The 20,851-nt window shown below is 52.4% G+C and overlaps 1 protein-coding gene and 1 pseudogene across 5 annotated transcripts, besides 1 other annotated feature; one reads left to right on the plus strand and one right to left on the minus strand.

Moving 5' to 3' along the window:
• Positions 3,631-13,371, plus strand: POM121B (POM121 transmembrane nucleoporin B (pseudogene); annotated as a pseudogene).
• Positions 7,817-8,317: an enhancer, noted in NCBI's record as "H3K4me1 hESC enhancer chr7:72711681-72712181 (GRCh37/hg19 assembly coordinates)". NCBI's record gives its function as "activates a minimal SCP1, AML or CMV promoter by ChIP-STARR-seq in naive H9 embryonic stem cells {active_cell/tissue: H9 hESC(naive)}" and the evidence as "EXISTENCE:reporter gene assay evidence [ECO:0000049][PMID:30033119]".
• Positions 12,652-18,962, minus strand: NSUN5 (NOP2/Sun RNA methyltransferase 5). Of its 5 annotated transcripts, none has more exons than NM_001168347.3 (10): positions 18,834-18,962; positions 18,567-18,689; positions 17,719-17,893; positions 17,530-17,638; positions 15,095-15,233; positions 14,883-14,998; positions 14,366-14,544; positions 13,962-14,172; positions 13,736-13,876; positions 12,652-13,660 (listed from the first exon to the last, which is right to left on the minus strand). In NM_001168347.3, exons 1-10 carry the CDS (start codon positions 18,924-18,926, stop codon positions 13,534-13,536), a joined length of 1,413 nt encoding a protein of 470 aa, NP_001161819.1. In that variant the 5' UTR covers positions 18,927-18,962; the 3' UTR covers positions 12,652-13,533. The 5 variants fall into 5 exon arrangements, with proteins under 5 accessions (NP_001161819.1, NP_683759.1, NP_001161820.1 ...); NM_148956.4 differs by having other exon boundaries at positions 12,652-13,665; NM_001168348.3 differs by having other exon boundaries at positions 12,652-13,876; positions 17,719-17,779.
• Positions 18,963-20,851: the final 1,889 nt, after the last annotated feature.

The raw sequence follows: 20,851 nt of genomic DNA on the forward strand, positions 1-20,851 counted from the left end.
CACAGGCATGCATCACCACACCTAGCTAATTTTAAAAAACTTATAATAGAGACACAGTCTCACTATGTTGCCTAGGCTGGTCTCAAACTCCTGAGCTCAAGCAATCTTCCCACCTTGGCCTCCCTGGGTGCTGGGATTGTAGGTGTGAGCCACCATGTCCTGCCTCCTTCATTTATTTACATCATCTCTATTTCTTCTCTGTAGAGGTTTTACTTCTCTTTTATTAGATTTACAATCTCGGCTCACTGCAGCCTCCACCTGCTGGGTTCAAGTGATTCTCCAGCCTCAGACTTCCGAGTAGCTGAGATTACAGGCACGTGCCACCACACCTGGCGAATTTTTGTAGTTTTAGTAGAGACAGGGTTTCACCTTGTTGGCCAGGCTGATCTCAAACTCCTGACCTCAGGTGATCCACCTGCCTCTGCCTCCCAAAGTGCTGAGATTACAGGCGTGAGCCACGGCGCCTGGCCCTAGGTATATGCTATTCTAAATAGTGCCTTCATATATGCTATTCTAAATAGTGCCTTCAAAATGTGATTGACTGTGCTGGTGTGTAGAAATACAACTGATTTTGTTTTCAGAAAGTTTGCTAAATCTGTATGTTCTTTAGGATTTTAGTACATACACTCAGGTCTATGATAATGAGTTTTTCCTTTCCTCTGCAATCTTATTCTGTTTATGTCTTGCTGCACTTGGCTAGGACTTTAAGTTGAATAGACATGATAATAAACATCCTTGTCTTGTTAGATCTGAAATGAGTGTGTATGTACAGTCAATGAAGTAGAGGAGTAATACTTTTTTCCCCTAATTGTTAAACCAGTTGTTCAGTTGTCTTCCAGTCCTAGCTAATCATTACAGTCTCCTTTGGCATTTCTTTTTTTTCTTTATTTTTTCTTGGTAGAGATGAGACTTCACTATGTTACCTAGGCTGGTCTCAAAACTCTTGGGCTCAAGTGATCCTCCCACCTTGGCCTCCCAAAGTGTTGGGATTACAGGCATGCACCACCACACCTGGCTAATTTTTGTATTCCTTTTTTTTTTTTTTTTTTTTTTTTTTTGAGACAGAGTCTTGCTCTGTCTCCCAGCCATTCTCCTGCCTCAGACTCCCAAGTAGCTGGGACTACAGGCACCTGCCACCACACCCGGCTAATTTTTTGTATTTTTAGTAGAGACGGGGTTTCACCATGTTAGCCAGGATGGTCTCAATCTCCTGACCTCATGATCCACCCACCTTGGCCTCCCAAAGTGGTGGGATTACAGGCATCAGCCACCGTGCCCAGCTTGTTTTTGTATTTCTAGAAGAGATGAGGTTTCACCATGTTGGCCATGCTGGTCTGGAATTCCTGACCTCAGGTGATCCTCCTGCCTCAGCCTCCTGAAGTGCTAGGATTACAGGCGTGAGCCACCTCGTCCGGCCCCTTTGGCATTTCTGACCCTTGCTTGCTCAGTGATGTGTATCCCTCAGTGTCTGGAGCACATTGTGAAGAAAAATGCAAGGTTTATGGTTTTTATTGTTTTAATTTTATTACTTTAACTACAGGTAAGGTCTTGCTATGTTGCCCAGGCTGGTCCGAAACTCCTGGGCTCAAGCAGTTCTCCTGCCTCAGTCTCCGAAAGTGCTAGGATTACAGGTGTGAGCCACCGCACTCGGCCATCTATGTGCTTTTAAAGTTCCACAGGTGGCTAGGTGTGGTGGCTCACGCCTGTAATCCCAGCACTTTTGGAGGCCAAGGCAGGCAGATCACGAGGTCAAGAGATCAAGACCATCCTGGCCAACATGGTGAAACCCTGTCTCTACTAAAGATACAAAAATTAGCCGGGTGTGGTGGCATGTTCCTGTAGTCCCAGCTACTCGGGAGGCTGAGGCAGGAGAATCGCTTGAACCAGGGAGGCGGAGGTTGCAGTGAGCTGAGATCGCGCCACTGCACTCCAGCCTGGTAACAGAGCAAGGCTCCGTCTCAAAAAAAAAAAAAGTTCCACAGGTGACTGATGAGCCGTCGTGTGAGAACCAGCGAGGTAGTGTCAGGGATCTGAAGTGATTGAAAATGCCGCTTATATATTCAATCCTTGGATCCCTTTGATGAATTTTTGTATTCTGCTCTTTTATATGCCTGTAATCCCATGTTTTTTAAACCATTGTGCTCTGGCCTTTCTTGCTGTTTGAGCGTAACTTCAACTGTTATTGCCGTGAGCAGTCTTCTCAAGCTCCTCCTGGGCCCGGCTTCCTGATGGTGGCCTCACTGAACTGTTCTGCTGCTTACCACTTGTCTGAAGCTTCCTCTTTTCCCTTTTTGAACTCTTATTAAGCATTGTTGGCTTCCTGTTTGTACTTATATGATGTAGCTGGTACTGGGTAAGAAATCACTAGCAGCTTTTCAAGTAGGAAAGACGGTCTGAGGTGACAGTTTAGGCTTTGTAATTAGGCTCAGCACTTACGAGACTATTTGCAGTGTCCGCTCTGTGCCATCTACTTTGCTGCTGGTCTGTGGAGGAAGCAGAGATGAAAACACCATCTTTGCTGTCAAGAACTCACCTGGTGGAAGAGGCAGATGTATGGATAATCATCACATGATGATAAATGCCATCGTTGTTGCAAAAGTCATAAATATTATGACAGTGCTTTTTTTGTTTTTGTTTTTGTTTTTTGTTTCTTTTTGAGACAGAGTCTCACTCTGTCACCCAGGCTGGAGTGCAGTGGCACGATCTTGGCTCACTTCAAGCTCCGCCCCCCAGGTTTACGCCATTCTCCTGCCTCAGCCTCCCGAGTAGCTGGGACTACAAGCACCCGCCACCACGCCCAGCTAATTTTTTGTATTTTTTTGTATTTTTAGTAGAGATGGGATTTCACTGTGTTAGCCAAGATGGTCTCCATCTCCTGACCTCGTGATCCACCCCCCTTGGCCTCCCAAAGTGCTGGGATTACAGGTGTGAGCCACCACGCCTGGCCATGACAGCGTATTTTTAAAATGAAGTTACTAAATGAAAAATCGAAAATTTAATGGAAGCAAGACTAAATTAGTTTACTGGGTTGTCTTCTTTAATTTACTTGTATCCTTTCCGTAGACAGTCTGGCACAGGTTTGAATGTGTCCTGGCTCTTCATTACTGAGGCTAATATATGCAAAAGTGTGTCCATCCCTTCTACCTTTATTCACATTCCATTACTTTTATAGACTTTTCTTTTTTTGCTTTCATAATTAATACTGGCAGTTGACTTTCTTTTCAGGGGTCTTTCTTCACAAACAAATTTTTTCCATTTTCATTTTCTTTTTTTTTTTTTTTTTTTTTTGAGACAGGGTCTCACTCTGTCACCCAGGCTGGAGTGCAGTGGGGCAATCTCAGCTCACTGCAGCCTCCTGAGTAGTTGGGACCACAGATGCAAACCACCACACCCAACTGATTTTTCAATTTTTTGTAGAGACGGGGGTCTCGCTATGTTACCCAGGCTGGTCTCAAACTCCTGGGCTCAAGCAATCCTCCCACCTTGGCCTCCCAGCATGCTGGGATTACAGGCATGACTAACCATTTAACCATAAAAAATATTTTTTTAGTCACTTAAAAAGAGACTTTGTCATGTTGAGGGTCAGATGCTAAGTTATCAGCAGGCTCAGTCATGTCCCTCTTGATTTTTAGCTGTGGAAGAGAAATGGCCCCAGTTCATCACCCTTCTCTAGCCCAGCCTCATCCCGCTCCCAGACACCGGAGAGGCCAGCAAAGAAAATAAGGTATTCGGCATTCTCCTGCAGTTTTCATTTGCTACGTGGACAGAAGGGGGTGAGGAAAGGTGGGAAACGAACCTGGCTCTTAGGCTTTGTGCTGCTGTGACTTGGAGAATCAAAGAAACTAAGTCCCTGAGAGGGACAATGCAGCACCCACCTGAACAACTATCATCCCTACAGTCTTGGATACTGACTCCAGTGGCCTCTGGCTGTCGCCTCCCACTCCAGCATGAGGGATCGGGTGCAAGCACAGAGGCCATGCAGAGTGGAGAGCAGAGAGAGTCAAGTCAGCGGGCAGTCACCTTCAGGTTCTTGACTCGAGCTGATCCCCTAGGTGCTTGCAGTTGGCTGGAATGCCACTCCCTCAGGGATCACATCTGTGTCTAGAACTCCCAGGGACTTGGTAGGTTGTAAGTAAGGTTTGAAGATTATTGTTTTGTGCTTGTTTTAAGACAAAAACTGTCTTCATGGCCTCTGTGAACAGTCTCCCTTCATTCTGTTGGAATTTCCTGTTGACTTTTTTTATCCTGGCATACTGAGATCTTAAATGATGGTTGTTTTAGATGTTGGCCACTTGGTAGTTAGGAGGGTGTGAGAAATTATTTAATACTTCAGCCAAGAAGTCTTTCTAGACTAAATTGTTCCTTTTTTCCCAACAGAGAAGAAGAGATGTGTCATCATTCCAGTTCTTCAACTCCATTGGCAGCAGACAAGGAGTCCCAGGGAGAAAAGGGTAGGTTGCTGAGCCAGGAGGAGGGGCTGCTGTTGGTGGTGGAGGTATTTGTGGAGGATGTAGAGATTAATACCTATTGAAAAAAGGTCTTGAGCATTGCTATGTCTAAGGCATGTTAGATACAAAGAGAGAGATTTCCTCTCCTTCAGAAGTTTATAGTCTGATGAGGGAGAAAGGCTACAGACGGGGGCTAACGATTGGATAGAGGTAAGCTCAGTTTGAGTCACCTGTGGGTGATCCCAGTAATTACTGCACAGTAAGCGGTTTGTGTGCGCGCCTTAATCTTACAAACACCATCCAAGCAACCAAACCATAGAAGATTGAATCTTTTCAGAGATACCATCATTGAAAACTCAGTGTGAAATGCGAAGTGGGTAGACACAACCATCCATTTCTGGAAGAGGGAAGGAAGCAAACGAGTCTTGATTTCTTTCTTTAGCTGCAGATACAACCCCAAGGAAGAAACAAAACTCGAATTCTCAGTCTACACCTGGCAGCTCTGGGCAGCGTAAGCGGAAAGTTCAGCTGCTGCCTTCTCGGCGAGGGGAACAGCTGACCTTGGTATGGTCTTGTCCATCTACTCCTGCCCTCCCCGGCTTAGCTCTCCTAAGTCTTAGGAACGCTAAGGACAAGTTTCTTCTGATTTTTTTTCTAATTTATTTTTGTTTTTGTTTTTTGAGACAACATCCCTCTGTCACCCAGGCTGGAGTGCAGTGGCTCGATTTTGGCTAACCGTAACCTCTGCCTCCTGAGTTCAAGCAATTCTCCTGCCTCAGCCTCCCAAGTAGCTGGGATTACAGGTGCTTGCTACCACGCCTGGCTGATTTTTTGTGTTTTTAGTAGAGATGGGGTTTCACCATGTTGGCCAGGCCGGCCTCAAACTCCTGACCTCAAGTGATCCAGCTGGCTTGGCCTCCCAAAGTGCTGAGATTACCGGTGTGAGCCACCATGCCTAGCCTTCCCGTTTTTTCTGATTGGCCTGACTTCTTCTTTTTCACTTTGGTAGCCTCCACCTCCCCAGCTTGGCTATTCGATCACTGCCGAGGACCTAGACTTAGAGAAGAAGGCTTCATTACAGTGGTTCAACCAGGCCTTGGAGGACAAGAGCGGTAAGGAGCACAGATTGTTGCACACTGGAGAGGTTTCAGGTGTCTGTTTTCTTTGGTTTTATTTTGGTGTTTGAAAAAATGGGTTTCTCTGGGAAAATCCCAAGTAGGGTTCCATGTTTTCTTGTGGTCTTTCTCACCTGAGATATCCGTGTTGGTCTTCACGGGAACTGGACAGCAGGGACCACTGCAATTTAGGGCAGGCATTCCTCCATGAGCTGTGCTGAGAGCCTGCTCTCCGACAGGCATGTGGAAAGAAGTCCCAGACAAGCCAGGACTGCTTCACCTTTCTTTCTTTCTTAGATGCTGCCTCGAACTCTGTCACTGAGACCCCACCTATCACTCAGCCTTCATTTACCTTTACCCTGCCTGCTGCTGCACCTGCCTCCCCACCCACCTCCCTCCTGGCCCCAAGCACCAACCCACTGTTAGAGAGCTTGAAGAAGATGCAGACTCCCCCGAGCCTGCCACCCTGCCCAGGTGAGCTGGAGTGGGGCCGTGGATCCAGCCTTCTGAGCAGCATCCCCGGCTTGGGTTGGAATAAGGGCGTCGTGCCTGTCAGTCGCTGGAGATTGCTCTGCAGGCCGAACGCACCCTGGCTCAGCACACCGGAGCGGGCCCACGTTTAACAGCGCCAGAGCCCGCATCAGGAAGTGTTAGAGAAGGGGTGCTGCGACGCTCAGGATCTGAAGCCTGGCTCGTAGCTGCCCTGAGCCTCGCCTTCCTCATCTGTCAGATGAGAATGATCTTCCCGGTGCAGCACCTCTGAAGTGTGAATGTGGTGGCGTGGTCAGGATATCCTTGCCTGTCAGAACCACTGGTCCAGAACAGCACTGCTTCCTTTCCCTCCAGCACTTCGAGGGCTGCTGGTGTTCCCGGCCCAGGCCTTCACGGCACTGCGCGCGCACACCTCTTTATCAGACGGTAACCTGGGGTTCGTACGCACCCTCCCTGCTCAAGGGCAGAGACTTCCCCATTCATAGTTGTGTGCTCTTAGCGCCTGGCAGGTGAGCTTAGTAGGCAAATAAAGTATATCTAGATTCATACGTGAACTTCAGAGTTCAGACAATTGGACTGTCTTAGTCTCTACACATTAGGCCCCCATTTAGGCCCCATTTTATCCCCTTCTGTCTGATGATCTGTGAGGTGGAAATAATGAACACTTCCTTGATTTACTGTACAGGCCTGTAGTGTAGACTTAGCTGAGTTTATTGACTGACTCTTGGATCCCAGGCTCTGTGGTAGGCGTGGGGAGGACACTGAAATACTGAATACCATCATCTTTGAAGTGTTTATTCCAATTTCACATTTTCTATTCTTCTTCCAGAATCTGCTGGAGCAGCAACCACTGAGGCCCTCTCACCTCCAAAGACACCCAACCTCCTACCCCCGCTGGGTTTATCACAGTCAGGGCCGCCAGGGCTGCTCCCCAGCCCCTCCTTTGACTCCAACCCCCCGACCACTTTGCTGGGGCTGATCCCTGCTCCATCCATGGTACCAGCCACTGACACCAAGGCACCTCCAACCCTTCAGGCAGAGACGACTACCAAACCCCAAGCCACATCTGCCCCGTCCCCCGCCCCCAAGCAAAGCTTCCTGTTTGGAACACAGAACACCTCACCTTCCAGCCCTGCCGCCCCTGCTGCATCTTCAGCATCTCCCATGTTCAAGCCCATTTTCACGGCTCCACCCAAGAGTGAGAAGGAAGGCCCCACACCGCCTGGCCCTTCAGTCTCAGCCACAGCGCCCTCCAGCTCCTCCCTCCCCACGACCACCAGCACCACAGCCCCGACCTTCCAGCCTGTCTTTAGCAGCATGGGGCCACCTGCATCTGTGCCCTTGCCTGCTCCCTTCTTCAAGCAGACAACTACTCCCGCCACTGCTCCCACCACAACTGCCCCGCTCTTCACTGGCCTGGCCAGCGCCACCTCTGCTGTGGCTCCCATCACCTCTGCCAGTCCATCCACAGACTCTGCTTCGAAGCCTGCGTTTGGCTTTGGCATAAACAGTGTGAGCAGCAGCAGTGTGAGTACCACGACCAGCACCGCCACTGCCGCCTCACAGCCTTTCCTCTTCGGGGCGCCCCAGGCCTCTGCTGCCAGCTTCACCCCGGCCATGGGCTCCATATTCCAGTTTGGCAAACCTCCTGCCTTGCCCACAACCACCACAGTCACCACCTTCAGCCAGTCCCTGCACACTGCCGTGCCAACGGCCACCAGCAGCAGCGCTGCCGACTTTAGTGGTTTTGGCAGCACCCTCGCCACCTCCGCCCCGGCCACCAGCAGCCAGCCCACTCTGACGTTCAGTAACACGAGCACCCCCACGTTCAACATTCCCTTTGGCTCAAGCGCCAAGTCCCCGCTCCCATCATATCTGGGAGCCAACCCCCAGCCCACATTTGGGGCCGCTGAGGGGCAGCCACCGGGGGCCGCCAAGCCGGCCCTTGCCCCCAGCTTTGGCAGCTCTTTCACTTTTGGAAACTCTGCAGCCCCGGCTGCTGCACCCACACCTGCACCTCCGTCCATGATCAAGATCGTGCCTGCGCACGTGCCTACGCCCATCCATCCTATCTTTGGCGGTGCCACGCACTCGGCGTTTGGGTTGAAAGCCACGGCTTCGGCCTTCGGCGCTCCCGCCAGCTCACAGCCCGCCTTTGGCGGCTCCACTGCTGTCTTCTCCTTCGGTGCAGCCACCAGCTCCGGCTTTGGAGCCACCACCCAGACCGCCAGCAGCGGGAGCAGCAGCTCGGTGTTTGGCAGCACAACACCATCACCCTTCACGTTTGGGGGTTCGGCAGCCCCCGCTGGCAGTGGGAGCTTTGGGATCAACGTGGCCACCCCAGGCTCCAGCGCCACCACCGGAGCTTTCAGCTTTGGAGCAGGACAGAGTGGGAGCACAGCCACCTCCACCCCCTTCGCAGGGGGCTTAGGTCAGAACGCCCTGGGCACCACCGGCCAGAGCACACCGTTTGCCTTCAACGTGGGCAGCACAACTGAGAGCAAACCTGTGTTTGGAGGTAAGGAGGGGCGTGGACTTGGGCTACCGGGCCGGACACTGAAAAGCTGTGCCTGCGAAGCCTGTGGTCTCGGGGAGCTTATGCTGTGGCAGTGAAGAGACAGGCACTGAATATAGAACTCAGTGAGATGCCAGGGAACGATACATGTTTTGCTAACGTAGTAATGACTGGAGGAGCCATTGTGGATTTAACTGGTCAAAGGCCTTCTGAGTAGTTAACAATTGTAAGCTGAAGGTTGGGCGCAGTGGCTCACGCTTGTAATCCCAATATTTTGGGAGGCCAAGGAGGGTGGATCACTTGAGGACAGGAGTTCAAGACTAGCCTGGACAACTTGGCGAAACCCTGTCTCTACTAAAAATACCAAAAAATTAGCCGGGCATGGTGGTACCCACCTGTAATCCCAGCTACTCAGGAGGCTGAGGCACAAGAATGGTTTGAACCCAGGAGTTGGAGGTTGCAGTGAGCCAAGATCATGCCACTGTACTCCGGCCTGGGTGACAGAGCAAGACTCTGTCTCAAAAAACAAACCGTAAGCTGAATATGGGGGTGGGGTGGGGGTGGGCACAGCACAAGTGGACATGCCTTTCAGGCCCAGGATGGCGCATGCAAAGGCCCAGAGGCAGAAACATGTTTGGTATGTTGAAGAGCAGAACAAAGACAAGCATGGCAGGAGGGCAGGAGCTAAAGCAGTGGTGTGGAAGGAGGCCAAGAGGCAAGGATTGTTTGTGGCCAGGGTTGGGTGTTTGGGTCTTAAGTGTTCAGGAAAACCATTGCAGAATCAGGCAGAAGGATGCAGTGATGGTTCCTCCCATGTGGAAGATGAATGTAGATCCCATGGCTTCTGTTTGCTTCGTGAAGTAGGAGAGAAAATCTGGGAGAGAGAGGGTCAGGATAAAGTGTATAAAAAAAGGGGTCTTTTGAAATAGTCATTTTGGACAGTGGGGGAAAGGAACATCATATTAAAAAGTGTGATCAGTTTCCAGGCAGTTTGTGGGCTGGAAAATTGTGATTGTGAAGTTAAAGTGAGGCCAGTTAGCATGGCGTGTGTTTCCCAGCGACACTGTGGGTGTAGACCTAAGGTCAGCGGACAGCTGGTGCCACCCGGCCATGGAGACCCCAGCAAGCACAGCAGGAGGGGCAGCGTGTCAGTGCCCCGATGCAGCTCAGGGGGTGCAGGAGTGGAGAGCGGGTGAAGTCAGCTGCAGGAGGGGTGGTGCCTACAGGAGATTCGGGAGCCGGAGCAGTTGTGGTGACAGTGTGGCTGCAGGAGTGGTGGCAGGGGTCGGGGAGAGGAGGTCATGGGGGTGGCAGGGTCGAGGGGCTGAGAGGACCATCAGTCAGCCTCACAGGGCGAAGTCACCGTGAGTGGTGATGGGGAGGAAGCCAGTGAGCCAAGGGTCCTCTGTGAATCAGGGAGTGACCTGGCAGTTGACAGGTGACATGAGGACATGGCAGATTAAAGTGATCTGAACTTGAGTTACGGTATTTAGGGAAGGAAGAGAAACAGTGTGGAAGCAGCGTGGGAGCACAGGGAGCTTCCTCTTGTCCGGGCCGGAGGCCAAGCCCTGAGAGCAGCCATCCCTGCAGAGGGGCTGCCAGAGAGGGCCTCGGGCAGGCAGCCAGAGCCAGTCAGGGCAAGGCCGGGGAAGGGAGGGTACCACGGGGCATCACAAAAGACGCGGGACGGACAAACCAGGCTTCAGAGGGGAGGGGACGGTGGCTAGGGGAAAAAGGCCTGAACAGAGGAGGTAGCCAACCCAGGTACGCTAGGAGGCGGGGGCCCCAGAGTACTCCCCTCTGCAGCGATGGTCAGGAGGCCCACGAGGTGGCTGCGGGGCAGGGGGGCTTTTTCTCTGCCCTGGCGTGGCCATTAGCGGGTGGGAGAAGCAGGCTGAGCTGGGGCACCAGGCATGAAGACTCGGTTGTCTGGCTCAGCTGCTGATGGAGGAGTGCCCCAGAAGCAGAAGTGGGGCTGAGGGTCCCGTGGGAAGTGCCCTGTGGAGCACAGGCTCCTGCCCGGCTCCTCGCTTGCCTCCGCCCTCTGCTCACTGGCTAGCTCTCTGTTCTCTTCATTCCAGGCACCGCCACCCCCACCTTTGGTCTGAACACCCCTGCGCCTGGAGTGGGCACATCAGGCAGCAGCCTCTCCTTTGGGGCATCCTCAGCACCCGCCCAAGGCTTTGTTGGTGTTGCACCTTTCGGTAAGCAGCAAGCCACCCTGTGGCCCTGCTCGTCTGTCTGAGGAGAGGTTGGGCGGGGTGGCAGGCTCCTGGCCCTCTGAGGCCCCGTGAAGATCAGGTTCAGCACAGGAAAGACATTTCGGGTTAGGAGTACAGCACAGCCCAGGGATGGGAGTTGGATGGCAGAGATCAGAGAGGAGCTGTCCGGGGTGGAAGTTTGCCTCCCATGGGAAGCCAGGTAAAAATGGATTCTTGGGCCTCGCTCTGAGACTCTCTGGGAGTTTGCATTTCGGGAGGCTTCTCCCGTACAGTGTTTCTGATGCAGCGGGGAAAGCCCTATTGAGGCACCCTGTGTTTTATTACTGGCCTGGCCTTCCAGAGATTTGGGCACCCAGAGCCAGAGTCTCAGGTAGCAGCTGCCCTGATGAGGTCTTGTTGAATCTTTCCAGGATCGGCGGCCCCTTCATTTTCCATTGGTGCGGGATCCAAGACCCTAGGGGCTCGACAGCGACTGCAGGCCCGAAGGCAGCACACCCGCAAAAAGTAGCCTTTGTCCCCTGTCCCTGTTCCCCCCACCCCTTCCCTAAATCTGGACCTTGGCACGTGCTAGAAAGAGCCTTGGACCCTTCCAGCTGCGTAAAGCAAACCTACCCCGGATCTCTGGCTTCAGCCGCCAGGGGGCAGTGGCAGCCCTGGGGCCCTTTCCCTTCTGGAGGAAGCACAAGCCTCAGGGAAGGGGAAGCAGGATGCGGAGGGCCAAAGCCCGGGACCTCTACTTGAACAGTTCCACTGGGGAGGCTGGAGAACTAAGGAAACACCTGTACATAGTGTCCGCTACCCTGACTCCCGCTTAGCGCACCCTTAGGCAGGCGCCCCTTCCACCTTTCCCCGAGAGCCGTCGTCGCTGGAGGGGGCAGGGTCCAGCCCGCCTGGATCGGTGGTGTGCACCTGATGGGATTTGGGAAATGGGCTATCCGTAAAGCTTTATCTTGCTTGGCTTAGCTGTGAGAAGTGGTTCTCTTCCTCTGGTCCCTTCTGGGGACTCTGTTTCCCCATTTCTTGCTGCTGTGTCCCTCACCGGTTCCTTGCAGGATTCCCTCCTTTTTAAATGCCCTTGAATCTAGCTTTGCCTTGGAGACCCCAGTGGGTGCTGCTCCTGCCATTTTCTTCCTGCCAAGCCTGAATCAATGTTTCATCTCCAACCCTCTGCCAGTTTGGCCCCTCAGAGCTTGGTGGCTCAAGACTGTTAGCCTGGCAGAGCCAGGGGTGAAGGGAGAAGCTCTTGGAGCAGGCAGGATGCCCACCGCTGCTTCAGCTGCCTCCTCGCCCAGCTACCCTTTGGCCCCATTGGGCCCTCGTCTGCCTCTCCAGGATTGTATGTTTCAAGCCTTGCCCTGTGTTCCTTTGTCTGACGCTCTGTGTATTGCTCTTTGAATCGAGTTTGGAGGAAGAGTTGAGTTGTATGAGTGGCGGCATGTTGGTAGTGCCGGACTTCCTGTTTCAAGTTTTCTGGGGCCTCGCTAATTGAATGTGGAAAGTAGCACCACTTGACGGCTACAAGTGCCGACTCCTGAATTTTCCCATGGTGTTCTGACTTCAAGGGCTGGCAGCCAGGGAGAATGGGCCCAGGGGAAGCAAAGACCTCTTCCCTCTGCCGTTTCTGTCCCACTTAACTGACCTCACTGGAGGCTACATCACCCAAAGTAGATGTTAGAAAACCTAAATTAATGAACCATATTTTTAAAATCCTATTTTTCCCAAACAGGGCCCTCTGCAGCCCAGCCTTTCCTTCCGTCCTTCTGAAACCACATACCCCAGGCCCAAGCGCCTTGCTGCCACGCCCAACCTCTTTGGGAGAAGTATGAATGCGTGTGTCTAAATTAAAAGAAAAAAATATTTAAACGTTTTTTAACAAAAATTTATTTTTGTATTTAAGCTAAATTGCCTTTTAAATTCCTTCAAGCTTGGTTCATTGAGGTGGTTAAGTATAAATGCTATTAACTAGGAATTAGCTGTATAGTTAAGTTATGCCTGTGCAAAGAAGAGGCTCAAATGCTGTCCCCGGCAGCTTTCCTGGGGGACTAGAGCTCCTTCTGGCCATGTTATATGAAATGTAATTCTTATTTTATAAATAATGTGATGTAAATGTAACTGGTGCCCCCTCCCCGATGTGACTGAGGGTGAGTGAGTGGTGGTGGGGCTGCTCCTTCCCACCCCTCAGAACAGCTCTGATCCTCGTTAATACCTGGCTGCGTGTGCAGCTGAGGAGGGAGTGAACCTCAAGCCTAAATACCTGTTAGGATTGGAGGGTCTGGGTGGGCCTGGGCCTAGCAATCAAGCTTCTACCTGTACCTTATGTAAGGTAGACCCTCCTAGTGTCAGCACCTGAGCTAGTTTACCTCAGTTCCGCAGGCAGGACAGCCGGTCCGGGAACCCTGAGTGAGTGTGAGTGTGGATGTGTACAGTACACGCACTGGACGGCAGCGGGAGGCTGGGACTTTCCATTACAAATAGAGACTTCATTCCTGTTGAGTCTAGTTGGAACTTTTAGTATGAATGTGAGATTTTTCTCCTGCTTGTGACATTAAGAATAAAAAACTGTGATCTATCGTAGAGTACGTTCTGCATTTTATTTTTGCAGGCAACACTTTGCTCACCAGCAAGAACACAGCCCAAGGAAGGGACCCAATAACCTTTCAAAACCCAAACTGCTTCCTGCGGTGAGGGCCCAGGGTCCTCCACGGAGAGGACAGGCATCTTCCTTTCCCACCAGGAAGGAGTCAGCCCGGAGCCTCTGCTATGTGCAAGGCGGTGTGCAAGCACCGGCTGCGGCTCTTTGCTGTCTCTTCTTTCTCTTTGGGGCTGGGCTGGGTGTGCGTTCTGGTGCTGATGCTTTGGCCTGTGAGGCTGAGCTAGAGAAGTGTAGATGTTAGATGTGCCGGTGCCATCCTGCGCCTCCCAAGCACGCCCCCACTCACTCACCTTGGCACCTCGACCCGTTCAATTACAGCAACGAAGAAGCCACTGCTGAGTGTGGTCTCAGGGGAGGCCCGGAGGCAGTGCTCGGCACCCGGGAACGTGCTCAGGCCTCGGTGGGGCCAGGCAGGCAGGGCGGGAGCTAGCCTGCAAGAGAAACGGCCCCAATGCTGGGTAAGAGAGCAGCTCACCCCGTCCCCCACTCCCCACGACCCTGGCGCCCGCCCTGTACCTGAAGGCGCCCGGGTTCTGCTGCAGCGCATCTCGCACCACGTCTTCATTCTCCTCCTGGCAGAGGGAGCACGTGGAGTAGACGAGCCGCTGCAGGGAAGGGAAAGTGAGTGCGTGGCACAGGGCTCGCTGCTGGAACCCTGCCAGGGCATGCAGACGCACCGGGCTAGGTGTGCCTGCCCCGGGCTCCTCCAGCTGTCTGCTCGGCATACCTAAGGAAAAGAGTGTCTCTGTTACATAGCTTCACAGGCTACCTCAGTCCTGAAATCCTCGCTTCACAGAGGAGAACTTTTGTCCCAGGGTCCCAAGCCCATTAGTGTCAGAAGTAAGACCAAAACAAATGACTCCAGGTCTAAGCTGCTGTGGATCTGCGAGTCCCTCGGCCACGCTTTCTCGCCATCTCACCCGAGCCACTGCAGGAAGGATCCAGCAGGATGTAGTGGACCTCATGGTAGCGTGGATCCGAGGGGGAGACCGCCAGGAAGTCCTCCTCAGCCAGTTCACAGCAAGAGACGCCAGCCCGGGCCAGCAGCGTGGCCATGGATGCCAGCCGCTTGGCATCCAGGTCAAAGGCAAAGATCTTCCTAGGGCAAAGCAGGGGTGAGCTGAGCACGCATGGAGCAGCTAAGGGCCTGTCACAGCCAACCAGAACATGCAGGTTAAGCCAGGACACACAATATTGAAACGGCCTACGTTTAAAGGGCTCACAGTCAGAGGTAACTGGCCTGGGGTCTCTGCCCCAAGGGCTAAGGGATCCACATCTCACACCTGCAGTGGGGAAAGCTTAGCTTGGGGCAAATACCGTGAACTGCTTTGGTGCAGCAAGAAAGACTTAAGCGAAAGTCATCCTTTCAGCCTTCATTACCCACTGAAAGGCACAGAATCAAACCCCATGTCCTCCTCCTCCTCCTGTGGCACTCACCCTTGGTTCTTCAGAAGAGCAGCCAAGTGACTGGTCTTATTGCCTGGGGCGGCACAGGCATCGATGACATGGGAGCCTGGCGGGGGGTCCAGCAGCATGGCTGGGAGACAGCTGGCCTGGCAGGCAGAGCACAGGAGCCAGGTAAACAGAGACCCCAGGCTAGGCCCTTCCCGTGCCTACACATTCTTCCCTTTTCTATTCCTCTTGCCTACCCTGTCCTGCAGAATGAGGTGTCCGGCCCGGTACAGTGGGTGTTCATGCAGATCTGTCTGGGCGGGAAACACCAGCAGCTCCGGCATCAAGGGGTCCAGGAGAAAATGCTTCCCCTTGAGGGCTCGTAAGTCATCGAGGCTGCCAGGGAAGAACCATTCATTCATTTCCTGAATTTCTCCCTGCCAGGCCCCATTTCAACGGTCCATTCATGCAACAAATGTTACCACAGCTATGGAGAAATCAACAGGGTGATAAGCTAGAGATGGGCGGAATCCGCAGTTGAGGGAATGGGTTGTCAAGCCAGACTGATGGGTCAGGAGCCCCCTCTACTGTTTACCAGCAGTGGGAGCCTGGGCAAATGATTCAATCTCAAGCCCCACTGGCATCTCTGTAAAATAGTAGGTGTGGGGATTCAATGAGCCAATATATTCAAGATACTTATTTGGCACAAATTAATAAATGTTAGCTATTCCTGTTGAAGCATAACCTTGGAAAAAGTTTACTTTTTTTTTTTTTTTTTTTTGAGACGGAGTCTCGCTCTGTCGCCCAGGCTGGAGTGCAGTGGCGCGATCTCGGCTCACTGCAAGCTCCACCTCCCGGGTTCACGCCATTCTCCTGCCTCAGCCTCCCGAGTAGCAGAAAAAGTTTACTTTACAGGGGGGTGAGGGGATGCAGGGAGGTGAGAGCTGAGCTCATTCTTGATGGATGAGGAGTTAGTCATGTGAGGCGCTTAGGTTAAAACTACATTCACTATAACTCAGTAAAGGAGTCCCGCCGACTCTCCGACCCATGCAGAAATAGGCCTAGAGAGTCACATCTCTCAGTTCAGAAATCTGTCAAAGTGGCAGAGCTGGAATTCAAACGCAAGCAGCCGTTCTCTGCTATTCCACCCTGGTGTCCAAGCAACATGGTAGAGGCAGAAGGAAGAGGATCTTACAAAGAGTAGGAGAAAGGGAGAGGGGCAGAGGCTGCTTCTCAGAGCCAACGAAGGACAAAACGAGACAGGTGTGAGCCCAGTGGAGGAGGCACGGGGCAGGGACCAGCCACTGTTGCTGGCACACTGGTGCACGCAGCACCGTGGCAGATGGACCTGAGAGAAAGCAGGAGGGACAGCACAGTGGAGCCAAGAAAGGGCTTAGCATGGCCGGGCACGGTGACTCACACCTGTAATCCCAGCACTTTGGGAGGCCGAGGCGGGCAGATCACCTGAAGTCAGGAGCCTCGAGACCAGCCTGACCAACATGGAGAAACCCCGTCTCTACTAAAAATACAAAATTAGCCGGGCGTGGTGCTGCATCCCTGTAATCCCAGCTACTCAGGAGGCTGAGGCAGGAGAATTGCTTGAACCCAGGAGGCAGAGGTTGCAGTGAGCCGAGATTGCGCCATTGCACTCCAGCCTGGGCAACAAGAGCAAAACCCTTGTCTCAAAAAAAAAAAAAAAAAAAAAAAAAAAAAGCTTAGCAGAGGAGTAACAGCATCAGATCTGGCTTTAGAGCTTCCTACAGTCAACCTCAAGGAAAATGCAGTGAGACAGTCTGGAAGCAGAGAAACCAGTCTGGGAAGTTCTTGTGGTCATCCCAATAAGAAATGAGTGCTTAACCTAGGCAGTGTCCGAGGGGCTGAAGAGAAAGGAGTGGAGGCCAGATGTGGTGGCTCACGCCTGTAATCCGAGCACTTTGGGAGACCAAGGCGGGCAGATCACCTGAGTTCAGGAGTTTCAGACCAGCATGGCCAACATGGTGAAACCTCATCTCTACTGCAAATACAAAAATTAGCTGGACATTGGTGGTGGGAGCCTCTAATTCCAGCTACTCAGGAGGCTGAGGCAGGAGCATCGCTTGAACCCGGGAGGCAGTGAGCCAAGATCATGCCACTGCACTCCAGCTTGGATGACAGAGTGAGACTCAGTCTAAAAAAAAAAGAGAGAAAGGAGTGGAGCTGAGAAAGATGCTCAAGGTAGGGGAGTAAATGATTGGAGGGAGGAGAAGGAAGCACCTAGGATGACTCAGTTTCTGGCTTGACCAAATGGGTGGAAGATGGTGACATCTGTTAGATTTAACTGGGGATGTACTAGGTGTAAAGTCTGAGAGGAAAGATGACAAATGCAGCGACTGTTAGCATCTGTGGTGCGTTCATATGAACCTGAGGAGGTAAGAATGCAAGAGGGAAGTCTACACTGGGTGGTGAGAATCACCAGGTGGGAGGCAGGAGTTAAAGCTAGAGAAAAAACGGAGAGATCAAGAAGAATGTAGGATGAGGCTCCTAGGAGTTCGATGTTTAAGGGATGGCAGGAAGACAAACCTTGGAGATGGATAAACTGCTGGAAAGGTAGGAAGAAAGCCCAGAGAGCAAAGTCACAACTATCCAGCCACTTCTCTTCCCAATACCCCAGACACCTCCCTAGATGAGGACAGCCAGGGCTCTAAGCTCTCACCTGGAAGCCCGACCCTGATAGGAGAAACCTTGTCTCTTGAAATAATCAACTACATCATCGGAGCAGGTCTTGAGAGTGTTCACACGCACAAATCGAGGCAGCTGGGAGGCTACGTAGGACGCAATGAGCAGTGAGTAGGCAGGAGCAAAGTTCCCCGCCTCCCCCACCCCCCAACTCCTTCCAGCTTACCTGGACCAGGCCTGGATCCCACTTCCAACAGGTCCTCATTCCGGCTCACACCCCGATGAACCTTGAGCCGAGCCAACTCAGCCTTGAGCCTCGCCTGGTGCCGGCCCAACAGAGCCTTCCATCGGCCCCCACCCCCTCGAAAGCCCTTTCCCAACAACAACTCATACACTAGCACCTGGGAATGAGGGAACAAAGACAAAAACAAAAATGCCCTAAGCATGAAGCATGAATGCCTTAGAACTAACTCTAATGGAGCCCCGGCAATGGAATGGCTAAACAGATCACCTGACAAGATACAGGTGGGATACCTTATCCAAGATCACACCAGAAATTAACTACAGAACAGGATCGGAACCTGGCGTCTCGCTTCCCAGCCTTAGACCCTTTCTCCACCGATGTTCACCAGTAGACACCTCTGCACCCAACTTCTTGCCAACATTACCCTTTCGTGGGTTTGGGTTTTCTTTTTAGAATGGGGTCTAGCTCTGTCGCCCAGGCTGAAGTGCAGTGGCCAGATCATAGCTCACTGCAGCTTCGACCTCCTGGGCTCAAGTGATCCTCCTCCCTCAGCCTCCCGAGTAGCTGGGACCACAGGTGCGCGCCGCCACGCCCGACTTCCTTACAGTCTCCGCCACTACCACTTTGTACTTCGGTTATTTAATCCTTCAAAACACTCAAAGTTAAAGCATTTTCATCCCATCTTAATTCGTAACCCAGGGAAGGTCGGCTCATACTCATTTCAGATGAGCGACTTGCTCCAGTCCCGCCGTGCACGGCAGCAGAGCTGAGACCAGATGACAAAGCGCTGACCGTCGGGGTTCACTTCCCCGTCCCTCCCCTCCCCTCACCTTGGCCAGGTGCGGCCGCAGCTTCTTCTCCGCACGGAGGAGGCCGGCGCTGGCGATCACAGCATCCAGCACGGCGGAGTAGCGCTGCGTTTCGCACACCAGCGCGTACAGCTGCTTCACGTTCTGTGTGGCCGAGGAAGACAAGCTGGGTGGGGGCTCCCCCGGCCCTCCTCGCCGGGCCCCACCTCCCGACCCCACCCGGGCCCGTCCGACCCCACCCCGGGTTCCTCACTCCCCACCCCTACTACTCGCGCCCAGGTCCGCTACCTGGAAGTTGCTGGAGTACACCAACCCCTTGATAGAGCCCTGGCGGCTCTCCACGCCGGCCAACACGCCTGCAGCTGCAGCATACAGCCCCATGTTCCCGCGCGCCTTTACGGCTCTGTGGCAAAACGCACCCGGCTCGGCGCCCGCCCGGACTTCCGGGGTCAAAAAGCACGACCTTCCGGGACCGGAAGTGCCGGTCGAAGTCGCCCTGCAAGGCGTGTGTGTGATCGCGCACCTGCCGGGGTAGGGAGTGCGACGCTGCAGCCCGTTTCGCCACTTCTTCTCTAGTTCTTAAGTTTTTGCCAATCTGATGGGCAAATAATGGGATTTTACTGCTGTTTAACTGAAGTTACTGAGGTTAAATATCTTCACATGTGTATTAGTCATTATATATATATATATATATATATAATTTTTTTTTGACACAGAGTCTCACTCTGTCGCGCAGTGTCGCAATCGCGGCACACTGCAACCTCCGCCTCCCGGGTTCAAGCAATTCTCCTGCCTCAGCCTCCCGAGTAGCTGGGACTACAGGCCCACGCCACCACACCTGGCTAATTTTTGTATTTTTAGTAGAGATGGGGTTTCACTATGTTTGCCAGGTTGGCCTTGAACTCCTGACCTTAGGTGATCTGCCCACCCTGGCCTCCCAAAGTTCTGGGATTACAGGCATGAGCCCCCGCGCTGGCCATAATTTTGTGTCTCCGTTTATTGTCTTATCTTCCTCTGCCATGTGTCATCCAATGGCTGTGTTCTCAGGGAGGCTTCTGTGTAATGGCAAAAAAGGTCCTAGCAACTCTAGGTCCACAATGTGGTTTACAATACCTGCCATTCACCCTGCACCAGTAACCACATTAGTCCCAGAGCCAAGCAAGAAAGCACGTGGGGTATTTGGGTACCTGAAATGGGCCGGTTTGGCCAAATTAAGTGATGTAGGTATGATCCAGGCCTCAAAGCCACAATAACGGTTTTGTTTTTGTTTTTGATGAGGTCCCACTCCGTCACCCAGGCTGGAGTGCAGTGGCACCGTCATAGCTCACTGCAGCCTCAAACTCCAGGGCTCAAGCGATCCTCCCACTTCACTCTCCAAGTAGCTGGGACTACAGGCATGCACCACCACTCCTAGCTAATTTTATCTTTTGTAGAGATGTGGTCTCACCATGTTGCCCATGGATGGTCTCGAACTCCTGGCCTAAAGTGATCTTCCCACCTCGGCTTCCCAAAGCAGTGATTACAGGCATGAACCACTGTGCCCAGCGAGGATTTTATTCTTTTATCTTGAAAGAAATGGTAGTCCTCTTAAGGTTTTTAAGTCATGGAGTGCTGTGCTAACATATACTTCTTTAAAAGATCAGTCTGGCCAGGTGTGGTGGCTCACACCTGTAATCCTAGCACTTTGGGAGGCCAATGCAGGCAGATCACTTGAGGTCAGGAGTTCAAGACCAGCCTGGCCAACATGACAAAACCCCGTCTCTACTAAAAATACAAAGATTAGCCAGGCATGGTGGTAGACACCTGTAATCTCAGCTACTTGGGAGGCTGAAGCAGGAGAACCATTTGAACCTGGGAGGCTGGGGTTGCAGTAAGCTGAGATTGTGCCACTGCACTCCAGCCAGGGGGATAGAGCAAGATTCTTTCCCCAAAAAATAAATAATCAGTCTGGTTACAGTGTGGGGATATAGGATGGAGGGGGCAGAGTTGAGGCAGGGAGAGACCAATGGGGGTCATGGGAGTCACCTAAACAAGAACTGGTGGCCTGGACTGAGTTGGTGGCAGTGGAGTTAGGTTGAAATTGGCAGTGTGACCGCTAAGTTAAATCCACAGAACTTGCTCAGGAAAAAGGACAGGTCGAGAATAACTCGTAGGTTTTCAGTTTGGGCAGTTCACACAATGCTGCTGTGTCTTTTGGTAGGATGGGGAAACGTGGGGTGATGGAGTGAACAACGGCCACCCAGAGAGAGCAGGTCCTAATTCCTAGAGCCTGGAAATGTCACCTTCTATGGAAGAGATCTGTAGGA

The sequence above is a fragment of the Homo sapiens genome, chromosome 7, assembly GCF_000001405.40.
Source record: "Homo sapiens chromosome 7, GRCh38.p14 Primary Assembly".
NCBI lineage: Eukaryota > Metazoa > Chordata > Mammalia > Primates > Hominidae > Homo > Homo sapiens.